General features: G+C 44.0%; 1 protein-coding gene across 11 annotated transcripts in view, besides 6 other annotated features; it reads right to left on the minus strand.

Annotated features, from left to right (window-relative positions):
• PARD3 (par-3 family cell polarity regulator) overlaps window positions 1-27,342 on the minus strand; it is a 705,736-nt gene that overhangs the window by 664,633 nt on the left and 13,761 nt on the right. The gene's annotated exons all lie outside the window — the stretch shown is intronic.
• Window positions 4,653-5,153: an enhancer, noted in NCBI's record as "H3K4me1 hESC enhancer chr10:35067774-35068274 (GRCh37/hg19 assembly coordinates)". NCBI's record gives its function as "activates a minimal SCP1, AML or CMV promoter by ChIP-STARR-seq in naive H9 embryonic stem cells {active_cell/tissue: H9 hESC(naive)}" and the evidence as "EXISTENCE:reporter gene assay evidence [ECO:0000049][PMID:30033119]".
• Window positions 5,154-5,654: an enhancer, noted in NCBI's record as "H3K4me1 hESC enhancer chr10:35068275-35068775 (GRCh37/hg19 assembly coordinates)". NCBI's record gives its function as "activates a minimal SCP1, AML or CMV promoter by ChIP-STARR-seq in naive H9 embryonic stem cells {active_cell/tissue: H9 hESC(naive)}" and the evidence as "EXISTENCE:reporter gene assay evidence [ECO:0000049][PMID:30033119]".
• Window positions 6,789-6,918: an enhancer, noted in NCBI's record as "active region_3256". NCBI's record gives its function as "activates an Ori minimal core promoter by ATAC-STARR-seq in GM12878 lymphoblastoid cells {active_cell/tissue: GM12878}" and the evidence as "EXISTENCE:reporter gene assay evidence [ECO:0000049][PMID:35858748]".
• Window positions 7,129-7,188: an enhancer, noted in NCBI's record as "active region_3257". NCBI's record gives its function as "activates an Ori minimal core promoter by ATAC-STARR-seq in GM12878 lymphoblastoid cells {active_cell/tissue: GM12878}" and the evidence as "EXISTENCE:reporter gene assay evidence [ECO:0000049][PMID:35858748]".
• Window positions 18,093-18,795: an enhancer, noted in NCBI's record as "H3K27ac-H3K4me1 hESC enhancer chr10:35081214-35081916 (GRCh37/hg19 assembly coordinates)". NCBI's record gives its function as "activates a minimal SCP1, AML or CMV promoter by ChIP-STARR-seq in primed H9 embryonic stem cells {active_cell/tissue: H9 hESC(primed)}" and the evidence as "EXISTENCE:reporter gene assay evidence [ECO:0000049][PMID:30033119]".
• Window positions 18,796-19,498: an enhancer, noted in NCBI's record as "H3K4me1 hESC enhancer chr10:35081917-35082619 (GRCh37/hg19 assembly coordinates)". NCBI's record gives its function as "activates a minimal SCP1, AML or CMV promoter by ChIP-STARR-seq in naive H9 embryonic stem cells {active_cell/tissue: H9 hESC(naive)}" and the evidence as "EXISTENCE:reporter gene assay evidence [ECO:0000049][PMID:30033119]".

Consider the following 27,342-nt stretch of genomic DNA (forward strand, 5'->3'; position numbering starts at 1 on the left):
AGGAAATTATAACTCCAAAGCACTACTGATGCTAAAAACACAGCACTACATCCTATAGATCTGGCCAAAGAACTCTCCACAAACTGCACGGAGTCACCTTTTAGGCAAGGCTTGGCTTCTAAAATCAAGGCTAAGGTTAAGACAAAATTATCCTTGAAAATTACTTAAATAGCACACACAGTAAGCACATGTGGTTTTCTGAGTGCTGCATTACCTTTCACAAAGCCTAACCCTGCCAATTTTCCTGCAGCATTGGAAGGGATTGCTGTTTCTATGGTTGAATACCAGAAGAAACGCATCTGGCCTGTATTTAAGGAGATGTTGCATGAAAAAAATACATATTGTTAATTATTTTTAAGCAAACATTGAGACTTGAATTAGTATAAGTTAAATGCACATGACACAATGCAACTGTAAACTGATGATAAAGACAAATGAACTAATTTATAATTTAAAACCAAAACAAAAGCAGCAATTGAAAACCACAACCAACTCAACACTACACTGATCTTATACCAATAAAACATCCTTCTCACAATTGGCTTGAATTAAAACTACCTGCATGCACATATGTCATTGCTTTGCAATCCTGCCAAGTACTAAGTGACATCCAGACTTTAGAATACTGAACTGAAATCATCAATGAAATCTAGCAATTTCACTGGTATCTGTATTTGATATAATTTTTCATTTACAGATACCAAATTTCAGTGACTCCTGGAAGTTTACCTAGTTACGAAGATGTATGTAATAGTAGAACCCAGTGGAGGATTTACATCAACACTCAAGGTTTCTCAGTAATTGTGCTCTGAAGTCACCGCTGTGAAAACAAGTGCCAAACAAATAAAGGAAACAAAAAATATGAGCAAAAGTGGGCATTTTTTAAAGTCACAAATCCTTTCAGTTTGGAGACTTACACAACATAGAAGCAGCATAGAACCCAATATTTCAAGCTCATATGACAGAGCAGCTGCTCAAAATACAGCAGCACTCTAAATTTATATACTACTGAACCAAGATTGACCACCAAAAGGAACAAATCAGTCAGGCATGGTGGCTCACACCTGTAATCCCAACAGTTTCGGAGGCTGAAGCAGGAGGATCGCTTGAGGTCAGGAGTTGAGACCAGCCTGGGCAACAAAGCAAGACCTCATCTCTGCAAAAAAACTAGCCAGGCATGGTGGTGTGTGCCTGCAGTCCCAGCTACTTGAGAGGCTGAGACAGGAGGATCACTTTAGCCCAGGAGTTTGAGGCTGCAGTGAGCTGTGATGCACAACTGCACTCCAGCCTGGACATCAGAGCAAGACCCTATCTCAAAAAACAAACAAAAAGAAAGGACAAGTCTCCTTACAGGACCAAGCCTGGGCAGGCAAGCAGAATGCAAGGCTGCCAGTTCAAGGTGCCCTTTGTCCAAACAATCTACTACAAGAGATATATGCGTGAGAGAATGAAGAAATTTGGGTGCAAATATAAAGGAAAGCAAAGTAGATGAAGTATTGCTATGAGAGTTTGTCACTTACTGCCTAAAGAAACCAAAGAAGTGGAGAGAACTCTCTCATTTTTTTAAACCACACAAATTTGTACAGAATCAAGATGTAAAGAGAAATCTGTAGGTATTATTCTAGAATTTAAAAGACATATCATAAGAACTCTTGACCCACCTCTGAAAAAGCAATAAGCAAAGCTATCATCCTCACCACCTTCATGCTTTTCAATTAATAACTTTGTTCATTTTACAAAGTAATATATGGCCAGGCATGGTGGCTTACACCTGTAATCCCAGCACTTCGGGAGACCAAGGCAGAAGGATTGATTGAGCTCAGGAGTTCGAGATCAGCCTGGGCAACACAGTAAGACCTTGTCTCTACTAAAAATTTATATATACAACCCTATAGGCTCATGGTTGAAATTTTGGAAAAGTACGAAGCCAATAAAATTCATCCATAACTCTGACCAAAAAAGAATTGATCAGTTAGGCAGCCAAGAACCCTGGAAGAAAGTGAGAATATAATTTTGGAACTAGTAACAAGAAGACAAGGGAACAATAAACCCAGCAGGACACCATCTCTAAGCTCTGAGAACTAATTTTGACAAGTCCAAGAAAAATATACCTCAGACACCTACAAGAGATTACTATTTATGTGGCACAGGAGACACTAACATACGACAATCTGAGAAAGACAGAATGGCATGATCCAAAGCAATTAATCTGACTGGCTAGGGAGCTCAGTTTTTAAAACAGCAGATCTAAACACTTCAGGGGCCAGCACATGGCCAGGGAGGAAACAAAAATGTGGTATGAACCACAGGGAACTTTGTCAGAAGACAAATCCAGAATTAGCTGAAGTTCTTGAACAATTTTTTTTTTTTTTTTAGTAAGCAGAGGAAGGACAGCAAGGTTTTAAGCTATATTTGGGGCCAGGAAGAGATAAGCTACAGATAGAATACAGCTCCTATTAACTAATCATATGTTCTCTTGGTCTTTCACAACAGAAGAATCTTCAAACTAGTGAAGGAACAACATTGTGAGCAGAAAATTAGAAGCCTCCTCCCATCCGAATTCCACCATTGGTGGAAAAAGAAAACAAAAAAAAACAAATTAAGGAGACTATTTCCAAGTATTTTCAGTCGTGTTTTTTTGTGGGGGGGGGGGGCGGGTGGGGGATGGAGTCTCACTCTGTCGCCCAGGCTGGAGTGCAATGGCACAATCTCAGCTCACTGCAACCTCTGCCTCCCAAGTTCAAGCGATTCTCCTGCCTCAGCCTCCTGAATAGCTGGACTTACAGGCATGTGCCACCATGTCTGGCTAATTTTTTTTTTTTTTTTTTTTTGTATCTTTAGTAGAGACACGGTTTCACCATGTTGGCCAGGCTGGTCTCAAACTCCTGACCTCGTGATCCACCCACTTCGGCCTCCCAAAGTGCTGGGACTACAGGCGTGAGCCACCATGCCTGGCCTTCAGTAGTCTTATGTCATTTCCCTGCTTTGGAACCTTCGAAGACTCCTGCCTGCTCACAAAGCACGGACATCTTCCTATGTGACAAAGGACTCTACACTCAGTCCTTCAAGCCCCTTCCCTCCACCATCCCACCCTCTTCCCCTGGTGGACTCAGCCAGATCTGCCTCAGATGTCAATTTCCCTGGCTGGTCTCTAACTCACCATCAGCCTGAGAGGAGTTGAGAAGGCCTTCCCTGCAGCCCCATGTCCTCACATATGTGTCTCCTACTCCATTTCCACCTTTGCAAACATTTTATACAACCTCTCTCTCCCCGCACAGGGGGCTCTTAGAGGGCATCCTCACAGTGCAGCACCAGGTATACAGTAGATGCTCATTAGACATTTGGATAATTTTTATTTTTTAGAGACAGGGTCTCACTCTGTCACCCAGGCTGGAATACAGTGGTGCAATCGCTGCAGCCTCAAACTCTCAAGCTCAAGCAATCCTCCCACCTCAGCCTCCTGAGTAGCTGGAACTACAGGCATGCACTACAACAGTCAGCTAATTTTTTTTTTTTTTTAAGAGATGGGGGTTTTGCTTTGTTTCCCAGGCTGGTCTTGAACTCCTGGGCTCAAATGATCCTCCTGTCTCAGCCTCTCAAAGTGTTGGGATTACAGGTGTGAGCCACCTCACCCAGCCAAGCATTTGTTAATTAATCAACTGATTCCCTGAGGAATGATGGTGAGTCTAGGAAAGAGACCAGAAAATTAAGATGAGCACTGCCCTCCCTCCCGCAAGGAGGCCTTTGGGAAAGAGACTGCTGCCAAGTTACCACCACATCCACGGCTCTTGAGTTAGAGCTTTATCCTCCAGCAGCCTTCAGAGGTACCACTGTCCCTCCATATCCGTAATGGATTAGTTACAGGATCCCTGTGGATACCAAAATCCAAGGATGCTTAACTCCCTGACATGAAATGGCGCAGCATTTGCATATAACCTCTTGTATACTCTAAATCAGCTCTAAATCACTTATAGTACCTAATACAAACTCACTAAGCTCCAAGCCAATGTGTGTGGCTTTAGGCAAGACATTTAAGCTTGTGGTATCTCCAGGTATTCATCTGTAAATGGACAGGGGAAATAGGGAGGAAGGTTGCGGTCTGCTGGATTCTAAATCCCTCGGGCCAAGGACAGAAATGAGGCAAAGGCTGGTTCAAATCCACTTGTTTGGCAAGTAGTTGGCAATTTCACTGTGCTGCCTTAACCATCATGTTCTCAGCTTTAAGAACTGAGCATCATGAATGAAGGGGAACAGACTTCGTTTGTGTTGCTAAATGGCAAACATGAATTAACAAGGGGGAAAATGCAGCAACAATCAGGCCAACAGAGCATTTTCCAATAAGAAATGTTATTCCCTAGAATTGGCTGCCTTGAAAGGTGCCAAGTGCATGGCCACAGACAATATCCTCCAGCAGAGACATGGTGGAGGAAAATTTCTACACTGTTCAGAAGATCTACACATTTAGAAGGGACCTCTTAGGTTCCTTTCAACTCTAAATTCTATTTTATGAATTACATGACTAAGAAACTATATGTATGCTGAAAAGACTTAAGTGACAAATTATGTTTTTAATAACATTAAGAGCTTGCCAAAAAAAAGAGCTGGCTGTTTAAAATACCTGGTATGATTAAATAAATCTCATTTCACCTATCGTTTCCTTAACATGAGGTAGACCAGTATTTTTGTTCACAAAGGACTGACAAACAGCAGCTAACTGAGAAAGCTGTCAGATTCTGACTTAGAAAAATCTAGCATCCTTCAGCATACATAGTATATTTAGTTGTTCAGTATTAATATGTTTAAAGTTACAGTCACCATCCAAATAAACTAAAGCAGGCTGGGCACAGTGACTCATACCTGTAATCCCAGCACTTTGGGAGGCCGAGGTGGGCGGATCACTTGGGGTCAGGAGCTCAAGACCAGCCTGGCCAACATGGCGAAACCCTGTCTCTACTAAAAATACAAAAATTAGCCAGGTGGTGCACACCTGTAATCCCAGGTACTCGGGAGGCTGAGGCAGGAGAATCGCTTGAACCTGGGAGGTGAAGGCTGCAGTGAGCCAAGATCATGCCACTGCACTCCAGCCTGGGTGAAAGAGCTAGACTCCATCTCAAAAAATAAAATAAAATAAAGCAGCCGGGCGCGGTGGCTCACGCCTGTAATCCCAGCACTTTGGGAGGCCGAGGCCCAGCAGATCACGACATCAGGCGATCGAGACCATCCTGGCTAACACGGTGAAACCCCGTCTCCACTAAAAATAAAAAAAAAATTAAAAAAATTAGCCAGGCATGGTGGCGGGCTCCTGTAGTCCTAACTACTCGGGAGGCTGAGGCAGAAGAATGGCATGAACCCGGGAGGCAGAGCTTGCAGTGGGCCGAGATCACGCCACTGCACTCCAGCCTGGGCGACACAGCGTGACTCCATCTCAAAAATAAAATAAAATAAAGCAACTATGCAGATATCACCAGCTTTTAAATTTTCTTCAAGAAACCCTCTGAATTCAGTCCTTCTGTGAAGAAAGATGCATTACCTGACACACACAGGCAGGCAGTGGAAGACATTCATTAGCTAGAACATTTCAATAGCAAAGCATGCAAAACTGCAAATGCCATCTAGACAAGATCCATGCCTGGAGACATCCAACGTGGCACTTTCAAGGAGACGTGTCCATTTCAAAGTCCTATACACAGGCAAATTCCTTGGTGATTTTCTTGGGTCTGTCTTCTCTGAGTCCCTTCTAGCTGTAGATCTAAATGCTCGGAAGTAAACAATGACAGTAATGCCACCGAGTGGCACCTGAAATCAACTGTGACTCTCTACGATTCCCCATCCTATTCTACTTCCCTCCATCTTCTTCTTTCCCCGGAAGATGCATTACACCTTCTGGTAATCCCCATGGAAACTACTGTGAAGTCCATTTTAACTCTGCTTCTTTTGTATGAATGGTTTTAAAATTGCTGAGACTTATTTTATTAAAAAAATTAATTTGCTCTTGACACAACTAACTTCACAAACTAATCACCAAATACCTTCCTGGTTTTCCATTTCTACCTCCTGACCTGAATGCTCCTTACCATAGAGATGTGGAGAGCACTGGCTGTAAGTCCAAGTACTGGTTTACGGCAGATGTCTTGGAGATCTATCTCAATAGCCCTCTCAAAACACGTTTGTAATGATGTTGAATATAAAATAACAATTTACATAATAAGGTGCATAAGCACCTCCTTTGCACTATTAATAAATTTTTGTTGGCAATATTTTCTAGGGATAAACATCTAATTATTACAAGCCCATAATCAGAAAAATGTCTTATGAGCGTGACATTCAGGAATTATTTCTTGGAGGTCATCAGGAGTCACAATAGGAGGAAATCGTGCCCTGCTGTTAAAACTCTACCAGAATTCATTAATAAAAGCACTGCTCAGTAGAAATGTAGTCTTTGGTCTCCTGTCTATTTTATCCCCAGGGACAACAGTACGCCCTTTCTTTTCTCTTGCCGCAGTTTTTTACAGAAGCTGTATTTTTTATCATAAAAGGAGGGGAAGCTGCCATTCAAAATTGCTGTTATTTTCCTATTCTGTTTCTCTGGATAAAACAAGACTTCTAAACTAACAAAGGACAATAATCAGTGCGGAGGCAACATACGCTGAAATAAGGAAATGCTGAAAACTAACATTCACCACGCCACACATAAAAAGCAGCTGAAACTCAACGTGAAAGCTAAACCTCAAGATATGACTTCACACAGCTATAACGGGAAACATAAAAGCAACTTGGGATTTCCTCTATTTGAAGGGATGCATTTCCGCTTACTTTGTACTTTCCTTGAACTTGGAGCAGGACATCACTCTTGCATCCCACGCTTCTCAGCTCAGGCTCGGTATCCAAAAAAAGCTCTGTGCCTCTGGGGACCTGGGGCACCCCTCCCCCCTCTAGCCTGCTGGAGCACCCACATGTGCAGAGGCTCACACGAGCATAAATCAAGGGACATGGCTGACACTAAGCACTGCTGAGAGCCTGCACAGCTGCAGACGCTGCTCACAAGTAAAAGAGATACCCCTCTGCAGGAGGCAGCTGCGGTATTTCACTTGCCCCTCTGACCAGGACCCATGCAGTCCTTGGAAGAGCTGGGTGCTCCCTAGGGCAACTGGTATTTTCTGTCTGCTCTTTGGTCACTTCCCATTCTTTTTTACTGGTTTCTGGTGGTTTCCACATGTGGACAAATAGAGCATAATAAAGAGGTCTGCCAGATTTCAGCCTCCTTTCACAGATGAGGCTTGGTTTAAAAGGAAAATGAACGAAAGAAAACTTACAAAACCAACAGCCTGATGGTACTTTTAGGAAAAGGTTAGTATGGTTCTGTATGAATGGTAGGTGACAGCTGGATCTGATTCTCTAAATATACCAGGCCTTTTCCTACAAGACTTTATAATAACTTATTTGTTCTTAAATTCAGGTGGGGCCTCTGGGAGGAAAAGTTGAGTGCAGGAAAATAGAACAAAAATTAATTAACAGTTTCCAACTGTAACATGCTCAGCACTATACACAGAGTGTAAAAGATATAAAATATTGCCCCCGACCTAGAACACACAGTTCTGTGGGGTAAGACAGCCAAATGCCTGAACCAATGACAGAACACTGTGCTCTATCGGATAATCCAGACTGAACTGAATGGCCCAAAAATCACAAACATGCAGAGGGCAGTGGAAATGTTCTTGAACGTTTTAGACAAACAGAACTGTATAATTAATGGATTTTCCCCTTCACAGTACATAAACATTCTGAAAGGTAGTACCTAAATCTGGCACCTACTGAGAAATGCTGACACAGCTGCAATGATTTTTTAGATATTTTTAACTTGTAAAGAGAACAGAGTAAGGAAGTGCACTTTGACCCAATTTTAACCATCTGTAATTTTTTTCTTCCAATCATCCTAACTGGCTTCTAGACCCAAGTGCTAATTTGATTGCAAAAGGAAAGCTGCCAAGAAATTATGGAGGCCTGATTTAAGGACAGCATGTAACCTGAACACATTGCAGTCAAGCAGTGTGTATGAAGAGAGCTATACCTGTAAGGAAAGACTGAAGTTCTAAGACAGCAGAGGCAGAATCCAGCCTCCTCCACTGGGCGCTGGAGCAAAATTTTAGAAAGGTTACCCAGGGAATCTTGACAGGGGACTGCAACATGCTCAGAGGCAGCCAGAGGTGCTCAACCAGCCTTAGGGCACATCAAACAACCTCCAGTGAGAACTCTCCACCCTTCTTAATCCCAAAATGTTAAAATCAACTCCACATCCATTCTTTTTAAATAACTTTAATCCTCACAACGACATCAAAACATTTTAAGCACTATCCACTCCACTTTTGGCTGATCGAAAGACTTAACAGTAGACATTATTTCCTCTACACATAAAACACTGTTACCTCTACCCCAGCAACTTACGGAGATTAATTTTTCTCCCATCCCCACTCTACACCAACTTTATTCCAAGAAGGACTTAACGTGAGAATATACAAACATTAGGAAAGTTTTTTTTTTTTCTTTTTTTTTTGAGACTGAGTCTTGCTCTGTCACCCAGGCTAGAGTGTAGTGGCGTGATCTTGGCTCACTGCAGCCTCTGCCTCCCGGGTTCCAGCAATTCTCCTGCCCCAGCCTCCCAGGTAGCTGGGATTACAGGCATGCACCACTACACCCAGTTATTTTTGTATTTTTAGTAGAAACGGGTTTCACCATGTTGGCCAGGCTGGTCTCGAACTCCTGACCTCAGATGATCCACCTACCTCGACCTCTCAAAGTGCTAGGATTACAGGCGTGAGCCACCATGCCTGGCCAAGGTTTTAAATCTTATGTACTTTAAAACATTTTAAGACATGTTTGTCAGGGTGTCAAACCTTAAGATTTAGTTGAGTCAAGTTGAATTTACTTAATCCAAGGGACAATAGGTAAAAAGCATTAATTTGGGAGTATAACACACTGAATGATGGCACTCTGATCTAGAAACTGGGTTTCTAAATACACTCTCTAAAATACATTTATCTGAATTTTTAAATATTTCTGATTGGCCTCCATTTTTATTTGGAATAGTTTTGCCTCAGGATATATTTTAATCATTTAAGGATATAAGTCCTCGGCCAGGCACAGTGGCTCACGCCTGTAATCCCAGCACTTTCGGAGGCCGAGGCGGGCAGATCACAAGGTCAGGAGATCGAGACCATCCTGGCTAACATGGTGAAACCCCGTCTTCACTAAAAATACAAAAAATTAGCTGGGCGTGGTGGCGGGCGCCTGTAATCCCAGCTACTCAGGAGGCTGAGGCAGGAGAATGGCGTGAACCCGGGAGGCGGAGCTTGCAGTGAGTTGAGATCACGCCACTGTGCTCCAGCCTGGGCGACAGAACGAGACTCCGTCTTCAAAAAAAAAAAAAAAAAAAAAAAAAGAATGTAAGTCCTCTTGCACATTTATAATAAAAACAAGTGATTATACAGTTTTGTCACAAAAGTATAATCAACCACATCATAAAAACTTTAGAAAGAAAAAAAGGGAGAACAACCCATAATCCCATTACTCCAAAGCAAATACTATTATTGGCTTAGTACGTTGCCAAATCACTTAGTGCATTTTTTTTTCTAACTACTTGGAACTAGACTATATATGTAACAGCAACTCATTAAGTGGTTTTTCAAACTTTCACAGTTTTATAACTATCATTCTGTCATTTAAAATCAGTATTCTAGGCCAGGTACAGTGGCTCACGGCTGTAGACCCAGTACTTTAACAGGCTGAGCAGGAGAATCATTTGAGTCCAAGAGTTTGAGATGAGCCTGGGCAACATAAAGAGACCATGTCTCTACAAAAAACTTCTTAAAAATTAGCCAGGCATGGTGATACACGCCTGTAGTCCCGGCTACTTGGGAGGCTGAGGCAGGAGGATTGCTAGAGCTGGGGTGGTGGAGGCTGCAGTGAGCTGTGACCACGCCACTGTACTCCATCCTGGGTGATGGAGAGAACTTGTCTCAAAAAATAAAATAAAAACATCAGTATTCTAAAAAGTTAATAGTATTCCAAGTCATAAAATATAAATAGCAATATATAAAAGAGTAAAGAAAGAAAACTGCAGCCCCATGTGAGACAGAAGGAGAAAAAAAGACCCACATGTTTTAGGATCTTTTACATTCCCCAATGAAGATGTGAATACTAACAAGAGTAGGGCAAAGTGGAGATAAACACTCTCCTGGTATTTTCCAACATACTTTTTTTTTTTTTGGAGACGGAGTCTCACTCTGTCGCCCAGGCTGGAGTGCAGTGGTGTAATCTTGGCTCACTGCAACCTCTGCCTCCCAGGTTCAAGCGATTCTCCTGCCTCAGCCTCCCAAGTTGGGATTACAGGCACACGCCACCATGCCAGGCTAATTCTTGTAATTTTAGTAGAGACAGGGTTTTGCCATGTTGGCCAGGCTGGTCTCGAACTCCTGACCTCAAGCGATCCGCCCGCCTCAGCCTCCTAAAGTGCTGGGACTGCAGGCGTGAGCCACCGTGCCCGGCCCCAATATACTTTTTTAAGGATTTTCTTCCCCTTTTTTCCCCGTCTCTTCATCCCTTCTCATCTTGTGGAAGGCTGGGAAAGTTAAATATCCTCACACTGTCAAGCGGAAACATCACTGTTCATCAGCGCAAAACCTCCCTGCTGTGATGTACAACAGTCATTTTTCTAGCATTCATTCCCATTTTCACCTCTTAATGTCCTCTTTGAAAAGTTAGTGCCAGAAATCTCATCACTAAGTTTCCTCCCTGCCTTAGACTGCTGGAAATGGCTAAAAAGGATACTGGAATTTATTTAATTTATAGGAACAAATATTAAACTGATTACTTAATATATGTGCTGCAGAAAAATTCTATATGTGGACTACTAGACAAAGAGTTCTAAGGACGATTACAGGGAAAATAATTGCTAATGCCTCATGCAGGAATGTCATTAATCTTTCTGTCTATGCAAAGCTATCTGAGATGTTATACTTTTTGTTTAAACACACAAATGAGATATAACTTTATCTTTTAAAAAATAAATGGTTTTTCAAATCTCAAAAAACCTCAATATCCAAAAACCTGCACATGTATCACACATTTATGCTTTTGAAACCCCAGAAATATAAATCCACAATTTTATATCCTTAATTTTGCATTTTGCAACTTATACTCTTGAAGTACAGAATAATCTTCTTGAAGTAAAAGCATTTTTTGCATCATACTTTTTTTTTTTAGAAAGAAAAAGAGTCCAGGCACAGTGGCTCACGTCTGTAATCCCAGCACTTTGGGAGGCTGAGGCAGGCAGATTGCTTGAGCCCAAGAGTTAGAGACCAGCCTGGGTAACACGGCGAGACCATGTCTACAAAAAAATTAGCCAGGCATGGTGGTGCATGCCTGTAGTCCCAGCTATTCGAGAGGCTGAGGTGGGAGGATTGCCTGAGCCCAGGATTTCAAAGCTGCAGTGAGCAGAGATCACATCACTAATGTGCATTTATAAGGCACAAATGGGACAGGCTCATGTGAAGGTCTTATAAGACATGGGCGGACCGTGTGGACAGAGAGAAATTTATCTAGACATTAGGAAACTTTTGAATTTCACTCCACGTAACATTCCAGAGAAGAAAAAAAAATTAATACTATACATTGCTCTTCAAACTATTTTATACAGAACCCTAGTTCAAAGAAGCACTTTGTATGTTCGCCTGAAAATGTAGGACCAGTTGATGTAGTTACGTGTCATCTCCTGGGTGACAGAGTAAGACCCTGTCTCAAAAAAAAGGAACAGTGTCTTCCCTGCATTTCTCCCCACCCTGCGCATCTTCCTCTTCTTCACTCATGTGTGTGGTAAAGCCAATAATCAGTGACGTAATGTCAACAGACAGAGGCAGACATACAAACGAAATCACATATGAAATACAGAACTCTGACAACTTACTTTTTCCCTCTCACCCAGCTAACTCATCTCTTTAGGCTTTGCCCATGAGGCTCTGTGGAAGCTCCATCTTGCAAATATTCTCAGCAGATGAGCCCACTCAATGTCCCATCCCAATGTCAGAGTTTCCACTACATGTTATTTATTCTCACAATGACTCTTCCTATCAAGTATTTTGTGTTCTGGCCAAAGCTTTGACCCATAACTATTGACTAAAAGTGGTCAACAGATGATGAAGGAATAGCCCAAAGAAACAAAGAAATATATCCCACTAGATGTTAAAATACATATTTTACAGCAGTTAGGCCCCATAAGAGAAATAACAAGGAGGCTCTTAGGGATGGCAGAAGTCCACTGACATTTTGAACAGCCTTATAAACAACAGTGCCACCTGGGAGGACTGATCAGCAATTTTATGAATGGCAAATGCAAGTAACCACAGACCCAGGCATCTTATTACATCTGGGGATTAGAAAGAAATGGAATGTGCCTGCCAGCGTATGACAGGGACAGATCTCCATGAGATCCACACACTGATCCAATTAATGTTTCTATTTAAGTACTCTGTAAAAAGCCACTTAAAATTTATCCACTCCTGACACTTACTGCTTACTAGGGGCCTTTTAAAAACTGAAAAATGAGTTTTAGGATCCTACATATATTTCTTTTCCAATATACATATATAGATTTGGTTTTTGGAAGGCCAAAAATGGCATGCAGAGTTCAAAGAGATCATTATTTTAGGTAGATCAAACAAAAAAACTGGTAGATAGACAGTTGCAATGCTCTAAACACATGTTATCTAAAACGACTAGTCTAAAAATTAGCACCACATCCAGCTCAAAAGTCAAGTAACCAGAAAACTGCTAGATCTTTTACATCTTTTATCAATCCTTAGAGACTTAGCAAAAATCCCTATGAATCTACTATACACCAAGAATATAAAGATAGGCCAGGCACAGTGGCTCACGCCTGTAATCCCAGCACTTTGGGAGGCCGAGGCAGGCAGATCACGAGGTCAGGAGTTGGAGACCAGCTGACCAATGTGGAAAAACCCCAACTCTACTAACAATACAGAAATTAGCTGGGTGTGGTGGCGGGCGCCTGTAATCCCAGCTACTCAGGAGGCTGAGGCAGGAGAATTGCTTGAACCCAGGAGGCGAAGGTTGCAGTGAGCCAAGATCGCGCCACTGCACTCCAGCCTGGGCAACAGAGTGAGACTCCATCTCAAAAACAATAATAATAATTCCAAAATGGCAGAGTCTTAAGGAAAGACAAGGTACTAATCAGATAACCAGATGAAGTTACCCACGTCCGTAAGAAGGTGAGCAGCCAAGCAAGACTTGTCAAGGAAAATGCTAAGGGCAGATGCTCTTTACAGCTGGTCTCAGTAAGGCTGCAGAGCATTTGAGCAGCAGCACAAACAATGCTGCAGAGAGGTACTCAGCATTTTTATATCTCGTTAAAGATGGAAGCAATCCCTGAAGACTGAAAAAGCAAATTACATGTGTATGTCTTGAAGGGGAGAAAAGATAACCGTCATAGTCATAATCCAGTCAGGCTAGGAGAAAATATATGAAAAATGTCCACACCCAAGGCACACAGCAAATGGGCAACCAACATCCTTTTTTTTTTTTTTTTACTTTTGAGACAGGGTGTCACTCTGTTGCCCAGGCTCTGGTGTACAGTGGCGCAACCAGAGCTCTCTGCAGCCTCAAACTCCTAGGCTCAAGCAATTCTCCCAACTCAGCCTCCTGAGTAGCTAGGACTGAAGGAACACAACCACCATGCCCAGCTAATTTTTTTTTTTTTTTTGTAGAGACAGGGTCTTGTTATGCCATCCAGGTGGCTAGCGAATTCCTGGCTTCAAGCAATCCTCCTGCTTTGGCCTCCGAAAGTGTTGGGACTACAGGTATAAGTAACGTCGCCCCAGCCCCAGCATGCATTTATAAAGCACAAATGGGACAGGCTCATGCAAGGGTCTTACAAGACCACGTGGACAGATAGGAAGTTATCTAGACATCAGGAAACTTTTGAATTTCACTCCATGTAACATTCTCAGGAAAGAAAAAAATTAATATTACACATTGCTTTCCAAACTATTTTCTACAGAACCCCAGTTCAAAGAAGCACTTTGTGTGTCACCCAGAAAGCGCAGGACCAGTTGATGTCATCTCCCAACTCAGCACTCTGCTCCATTAACATGGACGACTCTAAACACCTGATATAAGATCAGCCACCACCACCACCGCATCTACCACGCAGCCACTGCCTACCTGGGCCAAGCTCTAGGTCCAGTTCTTTTTTTTTTTTTTCCTGAGACACAGTCTTGCTCTGTCACCCAAGCTGGAGTGCAGTGGCACGATCGCGGCTCACTGCAAACTCCGCCTCCTGGGTTCAAGTGATTCTCCTGCCTTGGCCTCCCAAGTAGCTGGGACTACAGGCATGCACCACCATGCCCAGCTAATTTTTGTATTTTCAGTAGAGACAAGGTTTCACCATGTTGGCCAGGACGGTCTCGATCTCTTGTAGGTCTGGTTCTTTACATATGTATCTCTCATACAATCTTCAAGGAGAAGAGGGTATTACAGCTCCACTAACATATGATCAAAATGAGACTGGAGACTGCAGTCCTGGGCCCAGCCACTCAACAACGGCTGCAAAAACAGTGGCAGCACCATCACCTACTGACCCAGGAGGTCCCCTCCTTGGCAGAGGCAGAGAGCACTCTCCCATGCAGGCCAGGTATACACTGGCACACCCCATCTGGAAAGCAAACTGGCCAAGTGCAGAAACTGAGGGCCTTGAAATGTTCATAATTTCCTATCCAATAATTATACTTCAGAAAACTTGTCAATAATATACACTAAGATTATTACAATATTTTAAATGATGAAAAATGAGAAAATTAATTAACTTCCCAACAATAGTTAACTAGGTTAATACTTGTATATCCACATAATGAAGTGCTATACGACCTCTAAAAAGTATTATGGGCTGGGCACAGTGGCTCACGCCCATAATCCCAGCACTACTGGAGGCCAAGGCAGGAAAATGGCTGGAGCCCAGGAGGCCGAGGCCGCAGTGAGCCATGAAGAATTGTGCCGCAGCACTCCAGCCTGGGCGACAGAGACTTTGTCTCAAAAAGGAAAAAAATTACCAAAATTTTTGCGAGACATGGGAAGACACCGATAAATTAAGTAAAGTAACTAGGAACAACTGTGTATGCATTATGATTTCAATTATCAATATTTTTAAAAGCATTTGGTCAGGTGCCATGACTCACACCTGTAATCGAAACACTTTGGCTGGCCAAGACAGGAGGATCGTCTGAGGCCAGGAGTTCAAGATCAGCCTGGGCAGCATGCTGAGACCCTGTCTCTACAAAAAAAAAAATACAAAAAGTTAGCCAGGCATGATGACATGTGTCTGTAGTTCCAGCTACTCAGTAGGCTGAGGCAAGAGGATCACTGGAGCCCAGGAGGTCAAGTCCACCATGAGCTCTGATAGCACCACTGCACTCTAACCTGGGCAACAGAGCAAGATCCTGTTACCACCCGCCCCCCCAAAAAAATAAGCATTTGTATTTATATATACACAAACAAACAGAAAGAATGCAAAGAAATGAAAGAAATGCTCTTTTGTAGATTATTCTGGGTGGTAAGAATATGGGTGTTTACTATCTTCTTTAAAATCATCTGTGCTGGCCACATTTCCTACAATAAGTATGAATTTATTTTATTATAAACAATTAAAGCTTAACATTTTTCAAGAAAACATCCAGTATGCTTGCTCAAACCAGTGTCTCCATGGCAGAATCCTGAGCTCTGGGAAGCTGAACCAGAAACTATACAGACAATTCAGTGGCAGGAGCAGACCGTTTGAATCATGGGAAAGCTTTGAGTTGTGATAAAACTTGTCATGTTCTGGGTTAATTATTGATGAATCTGGAAATTGCCTCATTTATTAAAGACTTATGTGCTTTCAAAGGTGGAGGCGTGGTGAGCAAGCAGTTTCTAGACTGTAATGGGATTACTTGTGGTGTTCTCAAAGGACAAAATCCAATAAAACAAATTGTAGAGTGTATGTGTTTAAATAAAACACGCTCACACATTGTCTTCTACTTCCTCTGCTGGCACTAATTTACCAATCAGTCTGATCCCCAGGGAGGCATGAACAGTAATGACGCTGATGCAGAAACAAGAGGAAAAAATATGCTAAAATTATTTCACTGGGAACAGCACTGAGCAGCCACAGCAGAGTAACTGAAAGTGACAGAGAATGGAAACTTAGCAACTCTGCTCTCCCCCTGATAAGGCTAGCAAGCCCAGACTGAAATCCTCCTATCCTTAGGATGCTTCTGTTAGGGCCAGAACTGCTGAAAAACCAGCATCCATGCAATGCAGAGGCTGCAAGCAAATGAGAAGCTGAAGTACCAGGAAAGAGGAAAAAAAGAATGAGTATTCTCTTTAAAATGAAGCAAAAAATAAATAAGTTATGGCTGAGTTGATAAAAAATTTTAAAAGATGAAAAGTTTTATTGTAAGATTTGTGTAAATATTCCAGCAAATGTATCCTAATGTAAGTAGGGTTTTTTCCTTAAGATTTACTAAGTCATACAAAAACTGACTGCATTTCTTTAATCTGTGAAGTTACATAAAAAAATCATTTAGTGCTTGAAAGAAACCAAAAAAATGGCCTGTGACCCAAAAATAAATTCCAAGCCTTTCCTGGAAATTCCAACAGTCAGTTATGGCCATCCCTTCCATCCCAGCCTCCTACACGCATGCACAGGGAAGCGCATGCGTGGCACGCACATGGGCTCACACACAGACACACACACTTACTGATCATTTCAGAGTATCAAAAAATACAAAATAACTCACTTGGAAAAAAAGACAAGTGCAGCCCAACTGTATTCTCAACTGCTTACTTCTCTATTCAGTTAGATAATAGGAAATATGACTGTTTCCAGTAAGAGCATTCAAAACCTGGCTAGACATAAACTATCACTGTGTAACATTCTACACTGCCCTGAGTGAGAAGCACTGACGCTTGTACCCGTCACCAACGAGCAGCAGCTACATAGGGAGCCAACAGCCAACGCAGGCAACCCTGACAGTCCCAGGTAGAAGCCACTGGCCTGAGTCTCATCACCTGCGTCCCTCTCGATGCTCCACCACACTGCTGGCAGCCGCAAAACCAAGGCTCCAAAGCTCCCCAGCATCCCACTGTGGGCAGCGTCATCACCAAGCCCGGGACCAGGCCGGGGCCTCCTCCCCAGGAAGCCGGCTCGAAGCCAACACCGAGCCCTGGATAAAGAGGACAAGCTCCTGAGCTCCTCCAAAGGATGGCTTCAGCCCTCACGAGAAGAGACAAGACGCGGGGACATGTGGCAAAGAAGGACAGTGAAAGAGCCAGGTCCCCACAGCCTCAACCCGTCAGAGCCAGGTGTGGTAGTGAGCGCCTAGAGTCCCAGTGCCTTGGGAGGCCCAGCTGTGACAATCGCCTGAGGCCAGGGATTCAAAACCCCATCTCTACAAAAAAAAATTGTTTAAATTAGTCACTGTAGTCCTAGCACTTCGAGTGGCAGAAGTGGGAGGACCACTGGAGCCCAGGAGGTCGAGGCTACAGTGAGCTGTGATTGCACCACTGCACCCTAGCTAAGGAGACACAGTCAGACCCTGCCTCGTTTAAAAAAAAAAAAAAAAATCAGGACACTGCCTGAGACCCTTCCCAGGGAGCCAAAATTATGGCTGTCACCTCCTCTGACCCAAGGGCCTACAAACTGAATGTTTTGTTACACACGGACTTCCCTCTCTGCTTCCTGCTTTTTCAACTCCACTCCAATCTCTCCTGAGCCTCCCTCGGCCACCTCCCAGGATGCATCACGTGCTCGCCTCGTGACATGCGCCCAGGTGCTCGCTTGCTCAGATATGCGCCCTGTTCCTGCCTCAGGATGCGCGCCCACGTGCTTGCCCCGGACCTGTGCACCCCTAGCTCTCCCCGGACGTGCGCCCACGTGCTCTTTGCGGAGCTCTCTGGCTCCACCCAACGCTGGGTGGGAGAAGACCTGTGGAGACAGAATAGAGTCTACAGGCTCTTCCCTGTAGGAAGAAAAGTACAAGGTCTCGCTGTGTTGCCCCGGCAGGTCTCACACTCCTGGCCTCAAGCGACGCGCCTGCCTCAGCCTCCCAAAGCACTGGGACTTCAGGCACAGGTACCGCACCCAGCACCAGCTCTCTGTTTTTCTTTACTACAGTAGCACCCATTCTCCCATTATCAACACGTCACAAACTCTACTTAGCAGAGTACAGCAAATGCTAAAATACACCTCAATATTCACTTATGTTTAATTATAAAAGATTAAAAACACCCAGAGTCACAAAGCCAGGAGTATTTCTTAATAACAGCATTAGTCGTGACTGCCCTGCAGTTCTCAAGTACACTGTTTTCCCACAAGGATACATGTCCCCCTGTTCTGTCTACCTAGGAACAAGTCGCCACCCGCTGGAGCTGCACCTGCACCCAGGAGGTCTACAGTGACCTGTGCAGCAGCAAATTTGGCAGCAGAAAGCAGAGGACTCCAGGCACTGCTCATGCCTACAGGCTGCTGGGTGAACACCCTCGCCAAAGAAGGAGACTGCAGAAATCCTCCTTGATGGTATCAGCTCACTCGCTCTTAAATGTTCATCCACTTTTAATTATTTACAACTAATAAAACATGTAATAACACGGTCAAAATTATCGGAGTAACTTCCTTTCAAAAAGCACATGTTTGTACAGTGATTCTTTATATACCTTGAATTCAACATAATCTACTTTTGCATCTCCCTGGGTTGTGGGTGGAGAATCCGCAAAGGCACCATCTGGACAATGCCTGGGGCTGCAGCAGGGACTGCAGGTGTGGGCTCCAGCAGTGGCACTTGGTGTGGCACTGAGAAGCCCAGGGTGGTGCAGTCAGCCTTGAGCCCACCTGGGGAGCCGGGGGGCCGTCGCAGAGGCCACAAAGAGCTTTCTGAACAAAAAGCACAGCTCTGGCAGCAGTGCAGATGAAAAAATGGGAGAGCCAAGAGGAGAGGGAAAAGGAGGGGCAGAGTATCCCAGGCCAGGGACAACTCACGAACACAAGGGAGCTGGAGGGCAGTAGGACTCCAGGGCAGCAGTGAGAGTCAGTTCTGCCATGATCAGGGAGAGGGAAGGAAGGGGTCGTGGCGGTAAAGAGAAGAGGGCAGGCTGGGGTCAGTTTTCAGGCTGATAAATTTGAATTCTACTTGGAAAACCACACAGAACCCATGGAGTTCTCTGTACTAGTCAGGGATATAAAAGCCATCCTTAGAAAGTTTACTCTGGGAAGGCTGGGCACGGTGCCTCACACCTGTAATCCCGGCACTTTGGGAGGCCAAGGCAGCCAGATCACCTGAGGTCAGGAGTTTGAGACCAGCCTGACCAACATGGAGAAACCCCATCTCTACTAAAAATGCAAAATTAGCTGGGCGTGGTGGCACACGCCTATAATCCCTGCTACTTGGGAGTCTGAGGCAGGAGAATTGCTTGAACCTGGGAGGCGGAGGTTGCAGTGAGCCAAGACTGCGCCATTGCCTGGGCAACAAGAGTGAAACTCCATCTCAAAAAAAAAAAAAAAATTTTACTCTGGGGAAACATGAAGGGTGGATCACTTCACATAAGAATGCAATATTCATGAACCAGGAGATAATCCATAACAAATGGTGCCTGAAAAACTGTTTATCCCCTGATACCTTCAATTAGAGGTAAAGTATCTCATTTTAAGAAAAATGGAATGTATTTAAGTAATACCACATTTACAGTCGACTTGCACCTTACTCAAAGGATAAGCTCTAAACAGCAAAGGTAAGCAAACTCAACATATGGTTGAATTATACTTGAAAACTCCATTCAATCTCCCGTAAGTACAAAGAGACACTCCCACAGTCAGCGGGGGGTGGGGGTTGGGGGGACTCATGAACAGATATCACAAGGGGACAAGGGTTTCCACTTGCAGTGTCACCCTCAGTCCTGGCCATATACTCAGTACAGGGATGGCCACATAACCACCTATACCCTTTCCACTGTATTTTTCTGCCTCTGCTGAGGATGTAGACTTTTTAATCTACTACAGACATCCCTGCAATGCCATACCTCTAAAACTTCTCCCCCAAAGAATTTCACTTCAGAAAAATAACTGACTCTTCTTCAAATATGACATCTCTTTGATAAATAGTATATTATGTATTACCAGGCACACAAAAGTTAATTTCTATCATTTTCCAAAATCTTATCTAAGAAAGGCAGATTCACAGAAGTTCTATCAGTAAACAGATCACTACAAGAACTGCCTTCTGAACACTGTTCATTAGTAGAATGATGAAATTACTGCATTCCCACCTCTGTGTATGAACTTGGGGGTACTACTGCTTATGGACTTCACAGTATATTCCCATAAAGAAATGAGTGGAACCACCACTTTGAACCTCTTAGAAGATGCCACATAAACCTAAGATGTTATTATCATTATCTCTTTCTACCACATAGCCTGGGAAAGTTGTTAGATCTTTGGGCTCATGAAATATGAACACAAACTACTTCTTAAGTTTGTCAGCTTCAAAAGTTCAGGACATACATTTTATTGCCCTTGCCCAGATCAAGAAAAAGATGACTTTGAAACATGACACATAACAATAAAAAAAAATGTTTGATGTTATATGTGATACACACGCATATGCGCACATACACACGTATCTATGGCAGAATAAAGATGACCACAAGGCCTTGGACACTCCTCACACTGACAAGTGGAGTCTGCATGCCCTGCCCTGAACCTAGGCAGGCTTACTGACTAATTTGGCAAATAGAATACAGGGACAATAAAGCTGTGCTGTCTTCCAGGTCTAAAACTTGAGAGAGTGACAGCTGCTTCTTCCTGACTCTTGGGATACTGTCCAGGAGCCCTGAGCCACAGTACAAGAAGTCCAACCATCCGGAAGCCTCTATGCTGGAGACACCACATGCAGGTGCTCCAGTCAACAAGTCCCACCTGAGGGTTGCTTGCACTGAAGGACACTGGCTGTGGGATTGATTGTGGCTTTGGCAAGATTAAAATCACGGCAGGTCCGGAGGGAGATGCCCAATTCCAGTTCACTGGTAGTAAAACGTATTTCAGAGCAGGCATGGTAGTTCATACCTATAATCTCAGCACTTTGAGAGGCCAAAGGAAGAGCCTCACTTAAGCCCAGGAATTTGTGACCAGCCTGGGCAACATAGTATGACCCTATCTCTACATAAATTCAAAAATTAGCCAGGCATGGTGGCACGCATCTGTAGTCCCTGCTACTCGGGAGGCTGAGAGGTGGGAGAATCACTTGAGCCCAGCATTTTGAGGCTGTAGTGAGCTGACTGCACCACTGTACTCCAGCCTGGGCAACAGAGCAAGACCCTGTCTCAAAAAAAAACCGGGCGTGGTGGCTCACGCCTGCAATCCCAGCACTTTGGCCAAGGTGGGCGGATCACCTGAGGTAGGGAGTTCAAGACCAGCCTGACCAACATGGAGAAACTCCATCTCTGCTAAAAATACAAAATCAGTCAGGCGTGGTGGTGCATGCCTGTAATCCCAGCTACTCAGGAGGCTGAGGCAGGAGAATCGCTTGAACCCATGAGGTGGAGGTTGTAGTGAGCTGAGATCGTGCCATTGCACTCCAGCCTGGGCAACAAGAGTGAAACTCCATCTCAAAAATAACATAACATAACATAACATAAATAAAAAAATTAAAAAGTCAACTCTTATACTCACACAGGTGGGATGAATTGACACATAGAGACATTGCTTTCATGATCTTACACTTCAAGTTAAGATCTTTAAAAACTCCAGCTGTGAAAGCAGTATAAATGGGTTCCAAACTGTGCCTCATCTGTTAAATTCCCATGCTAATCTAAGTTCCATGGAAAAGCTAATGTCAACTCATCATGTGATAATTCAATTTGTACAATAAACTATGAACCTGAAAAAACAAAAACAAAAAAAAGTCCCAGCTGAGCCCAACATTCTAGTTAGTTACCCCCACCAAACACCAGATATATGAATGGAGCCATCTAGGATTTTCCAGGCCAGGTCATCATCTGCCAGGTAAATACATGCAAGTAACCCCAAGTGGCACGGAAGAATAACCCAGCTGAGCCCTGCCCAAATTCCTGGCCCACAAAATCATGAGATATAATTAAATCATTGTTTATTTAAGCCATTAAGTTTTGGGTTGGTTATGCAGCAACACCTAAATATAAACTAGGGTTCAAAAAACATTTTTACTATCAACTTGGGGTTAAGTGTTATTTGAAACTGCTGAATATTATTTTTAAAATTCTTACATGGACATTACTATCAGACACATTATGTCTTTAGAGTAATTTCTATCAGGTCTATAAAATTCAGTACTAGTCAGTTCCCATAGTTGCAGTAGATTTGAAGAAAATATTTTAAAATAGTATTTCAAAGAACTGCACTTTGCAGCCCTGAAAGTACCCTTGAAGAAATTATTTCCTGGCCAGATGTAGTGGTTCACGCTTGTAATCCCAGCACTCTGGGAGGCCGAGGCGAGTGGATCACCTGAGGTTAGGAGTTCAAGGCCAGCCTGGCCAAAATGGCAAAACCCCGTCTCTACTAAAAATACAAAAATTAGCCAGGCATGGTGGTGCATGCCTGTAATCCCAGCTACTCGGGAGGCTGATGCAGGAGAATCACTTGAACCCAGGAGACGGAGGTTGCTATGAACTGAGATCGTGCCACTGCACTCCAGCCTGGATGGCAGGGCGAGATTCCATCTCAAAAAAAATAAAATAAATGAAATAAAATCAATCCATGGACATAAAAATTGTCAGACCCATGGTTAGGTTCATGAGGCAGCACAACCAGGAGCTTATATTTGCCAACAACAGCCAGGCCCACTGGCAATCTGGTGTCATGAGGGGACTTGTTCAGTGGGACTGTTCCAAGGAGCTAAGTAAGTGGTTAACAAGGTCTTGCTCTGTCACCCAGGCTGCAGTGCAGGGGCACAACCATAACTGACTGCATCCTTGAACTCTTGGGCTCAAGCGATTCTCCCACCTCAGCCTCCCGAGTAGCTGAGACTACAGGTGCATGCCATCCCGCCTGGCTAATTTATGTTTATTCTTTGTAGAGACAGGGTCTCACTGTGTTGCCCAGGCTGGTCTCAACTCCTGGCCTCAAGCAATCCTCCCACTTCAGTCTCCCAACGTGCTGGAATTACAGGCGTGAGGCACCGCACCTGGCCAAAGTAAAGTCTAAACATGTAGAAAAGGAATCCCTTACCTACTTTGTGAAAGTGTGCCAACAGTCTTCTCTAATACTACTGCTCCATCCAATAAAAATGGATGTGTATCCATAAACAAGCTCGAAAAGCAACTCTTGCAAGAGAAGTATTCTGTCCACTACTCAGAAGCCCTCATCTCTGCTTTACCCAAAACCAAATACCATAGTTGACCGGTTTCTATATATACAAACACCCAGAGGACATAACCTGGCTCAAAGGATAACTCATATATTTTATCCAAATTGGCCTTTCCTTCCCCCATCTCATTACAACTCCCCCGTGCTGTCTCTCACTGCCCTTCCTTAACCAATTTCTGTTTAGTAGAAGTGGCTATTAGACTAGACATCATTTAGAGTCAACAGCTAAAACCTAAGGATGACCTTGCACATGTGTTGTCTCTGTTTCTACAAATAAAACTCAACAAAATTAACAGGCAGGAGAATTGAATGACTTCAAAAGTCAAAAATGAAAATATATCCAGCCTGGGCAACAGCACAAGACTCGGTCTCAAAAAAGAAAACACACAAAGACACAAAGAAAATATACAGACTGGATATGGTAGCTCACCCCTATAACCCCAGTGTTATGGGAGGCTGAGGCAAGAGGATCACTTGAGACCAAAAGTTCAAGATCAGCCTGGGCAACTTAGCAAGAACCCATCTCTACAAAAAGAAAAAAAAAATGCTTAATGAGCTGGGCATGGTAGCATGTACCTGTAGTCCTAGCTACTCAGGAGGCTGAGGCAGGAAGATTACCAAAGCCCAGCAGTTTGAAGCTGCAGTGAGCTATTGATGGCACCACTATACTCCAACCTGGGGAACACAGCAAGTGCAAAACCCTGTCCCGTGAAGAAGGAGAAGGAGAAGGAGAAAGGAGAAGAAGAAATGAGAAGAAAGGAGGAGGAGGAGAAGAGGAAGAAGAAAAAAAAAACATGCCGGGCGCAGTGGCTCACAACTGTAATTCCAGCACTTTGGGAGGCTGAGGCAGGTGGATCACCTGAGGTCAGGAGTTCAAGACCACCCTGACCAACATGGTGAAACTGCATCTCTACTAAAAATACAAAAATTAGCCAGATGTGGTGGTGGGTGCCTGTAACCCGAGCCGCTCAGGAAGCTGAGGCAGGAGAGTCACTAGAACCCGGGAGGCAGAGGTTGCAGTGAGCCGAGATGTCGCCATTGCACTCCAGACTGGGGAACAGAGTGAGACTCTGTCTCCAAAAAAAAAAAAAAAAACCCACACATACAGGCTGATCCACTGTCACACAAGTGACCAGCCTTTGAGCATGCTGGCTGATCATCTCAACTTGTGTTTTGGAAATTTCCATGCACAGTCCAAAGGCGAGCAGGGTTGCAAATCACATAATGCAACAACTCCAAAAGGTCTGGAGGTTGGCCTGGGCCAGGAGTCCTCCAACCCGGCTGCACAGACAACCACCTGAAGAGCTTCCTGAAGAGCTTTACAGAAACACCAATCTCCAAACGTGACCCAGAGACCTCACCCCCTTGGTTTATATGGAGCTTAGGTATCAACATTCTAAAACCTTTGCTGCCAAGGTTAAGAGCAGTTGCTCTAGCACCAACTGGGGATGTCACTCAGGCTGAAGTGCAGTGGCGCAATCTCGGCTCACTGCAACCTCCACCTCCCGGGATCAAGCGATTCTCCTGCCTCAGCCTCCCGAGTAGCTGGGACTACAGGTGCCTGCCACCACACCCAGGTAATTTTTGTATTTTTAGTAGAGATGGGGTTTCACCATGTTGGCCAGGCTGGTCTCGAACTCCTGACCTCAGGTGATCCACCCGCCTCGGCCTCCCAAAGTGCTGGGATTACAAGCGGGAGCCACCATGCCCAGCCTCAATACAGATTCCTATACGGAGGTGTCTAGAATGGGCCCCGAGATTGTACATTTCCAGCAAGTTCCCAAGAGATGCCAGTGCTGCTGGCCCAGAGGCCACACCAGAGAAGCAAGGGTCTTTGACAGCTAGCCATGCACCTTTTTTACCCTCACTAGCCTGAAGCTGATCCCAAAGGTGCACTTCTTCCCTGAACCCATAAGCCATTCAAGCAAACCCAAGTCAGGAAAAAACCCTGTTCTTCTCCCGCGGGATCACTTACTCTTTCTTATGGAATTGCAGCATCTTAAAATGCACATCAGTTTGTCATGGTATAGCAACTCACTGTGCAGGCTCTGAAGTTAGAGTCTGCCAAAGGCAGCCAAGCCGGCTGGGTACGGTGGCTGACACTTGCAATCCCAGCACTTTGGGGAGCCAAAGTGGGAGGGTCACTTGAGCCCAGGAGTTGAAGATCAGCTTGTGCAGTAAAGTAAAACCTCATCTCTACAAAAAAAAAAAACAAGTTAGCCAAGTGTGGTGGCGCATGCCTGTAGTCCCAGCTACTTGTGAAGCTGAGGCAGGAAGATCACTTGAGCCCAGAAGTTCAAGACCAGCCTGGGCAATACAGTGAGACTCCATCTCTACAAACATAAAAATAAATTAACTAGGCATAGGTGGTACATACCTGTAGTCCCAGCTACTCGGGAGGCTGAGGCAGGAAGAATGCTTGAGCCCAGGAGGTTGAGGCTACAGTGAGCCATGATCATGCCACTGCACTCCAGTCTGGGTGACAGAGCAAGACCCTCAGTTGTGCAACTTCCCAAAAAAAAAAAAAGTTTCTTATCCTCTCTAGCCCAAGCTTACTCATCTGTAAACTCTGGATTACACCAATATCACAACTCCATGAGATTAACATATACACATAAAGCACTGACCCCAGCACATAGGGCCTGATACAACATGTGCCATGAGTGCTTACCATTACTCTTGATAATAATGTTAATACTGGCCAGGCACGGTGGCTCAGGCCTGTAAATCCCAGCACTTTGGGAGGTCGAGGCAGGCGAATCACCTGAGGTCAGGAGTTCAAGACCAGCCTGATAAACCAGGTGAAACCCCATCTCTACTAAAAATACAAAAAATTAGCCAGGCGTGGTAGTGGGCACCTGTAATCCCAGCTACTCGGGAGGCTGAGGCAGGAGAATTGCTTGAACCCGGGAGGCAGAGCTTGCAGTGAGCCGCGATCATGCCACTGCACTCCAGCCTGGGTGACAGAGCGAGACTCCATCTCAAAAAAACAAAAAATAAAAAATAATAATGGTAATACTACCATTTTCTGATACCACTGTCTCCTGGATCTCCTCCTTGCTGTCTGAGACTCCTTCACAGTAAGTTAGGAATGAAAAAAAAGTGACAGGTTTCACTGTTGTTAAAACGGTACCTTCCCAACAACCTCCTAAACTAATAGGCAGATAAATAATGCCCCTGATAAAAGCACCTCTTATGCAAGAGCTTTCGATCATGAGTCCTGACCTAAAAAGCTTTCTAACACCAAAAGCAGAGACTGAGCTGAAAATACCACTCCCCGGAATCTATAAAGAAAGCAGCTTCACTTCTCATCGGTAAAGAAACAATGCAGGGCCAAAACTCTTCTGCCTCGGACTAAAATCCCCCCTATCAAAACACTCTAAGATCTGTCAAAAATTCTCCGAATTATTTCTCTGCAATTTTGTTATAAAACACTTGAGTATTCTGGAAAGTTTTTGAAAGCACCATTCATCACTTCCATTAGCAAAGCACAAAAACAAAGGGGAAGCGTGAAGGCAAGAGACAGACGCACAAAAATACATTCCTATCTCCCGTGCTGCTAGGTCTTTTTCACATCCTGTAGGAAACTAAAACTTGGAATTTCAAACACACTCACATGAAAAAATGTTTACAAATAAATACAGGAAGGGATCAGAGTCAAAATAGGAGTGCTGTGCCATTAGATAAGCTTTACTACTTCAATCACTGCTTAGCGACTTCCCTAAATGCATATGGGGAGAGGGAAGAAGCATTACTTTAATTAATGAGATGTTTAAGGTCTTCAAAGAGGAAAACAACCCCTTCAATACTGTGGTATGAAAAAGACGGATGAGAGGAGGTAGTCCTCTTGAATACAAAGCCAGGGTGTTGATAACTGCAAGTCTGACTTCATCGCACTGCCTGCCAAG

Source organism: Homo sapiens, chromosome 10, assembly GCF_000001405.40.
Source record: "Homo sapiens chromosome 10, GRCh38.p14 Primary Assembly".
In the NCBI taxonomy this organism is placed as follows: domain Eukaryota; kingdom Metazoa; phylum Chordata; class Mammalia; order Primates; family Hominidae; genus Homo; species Homo sapiens.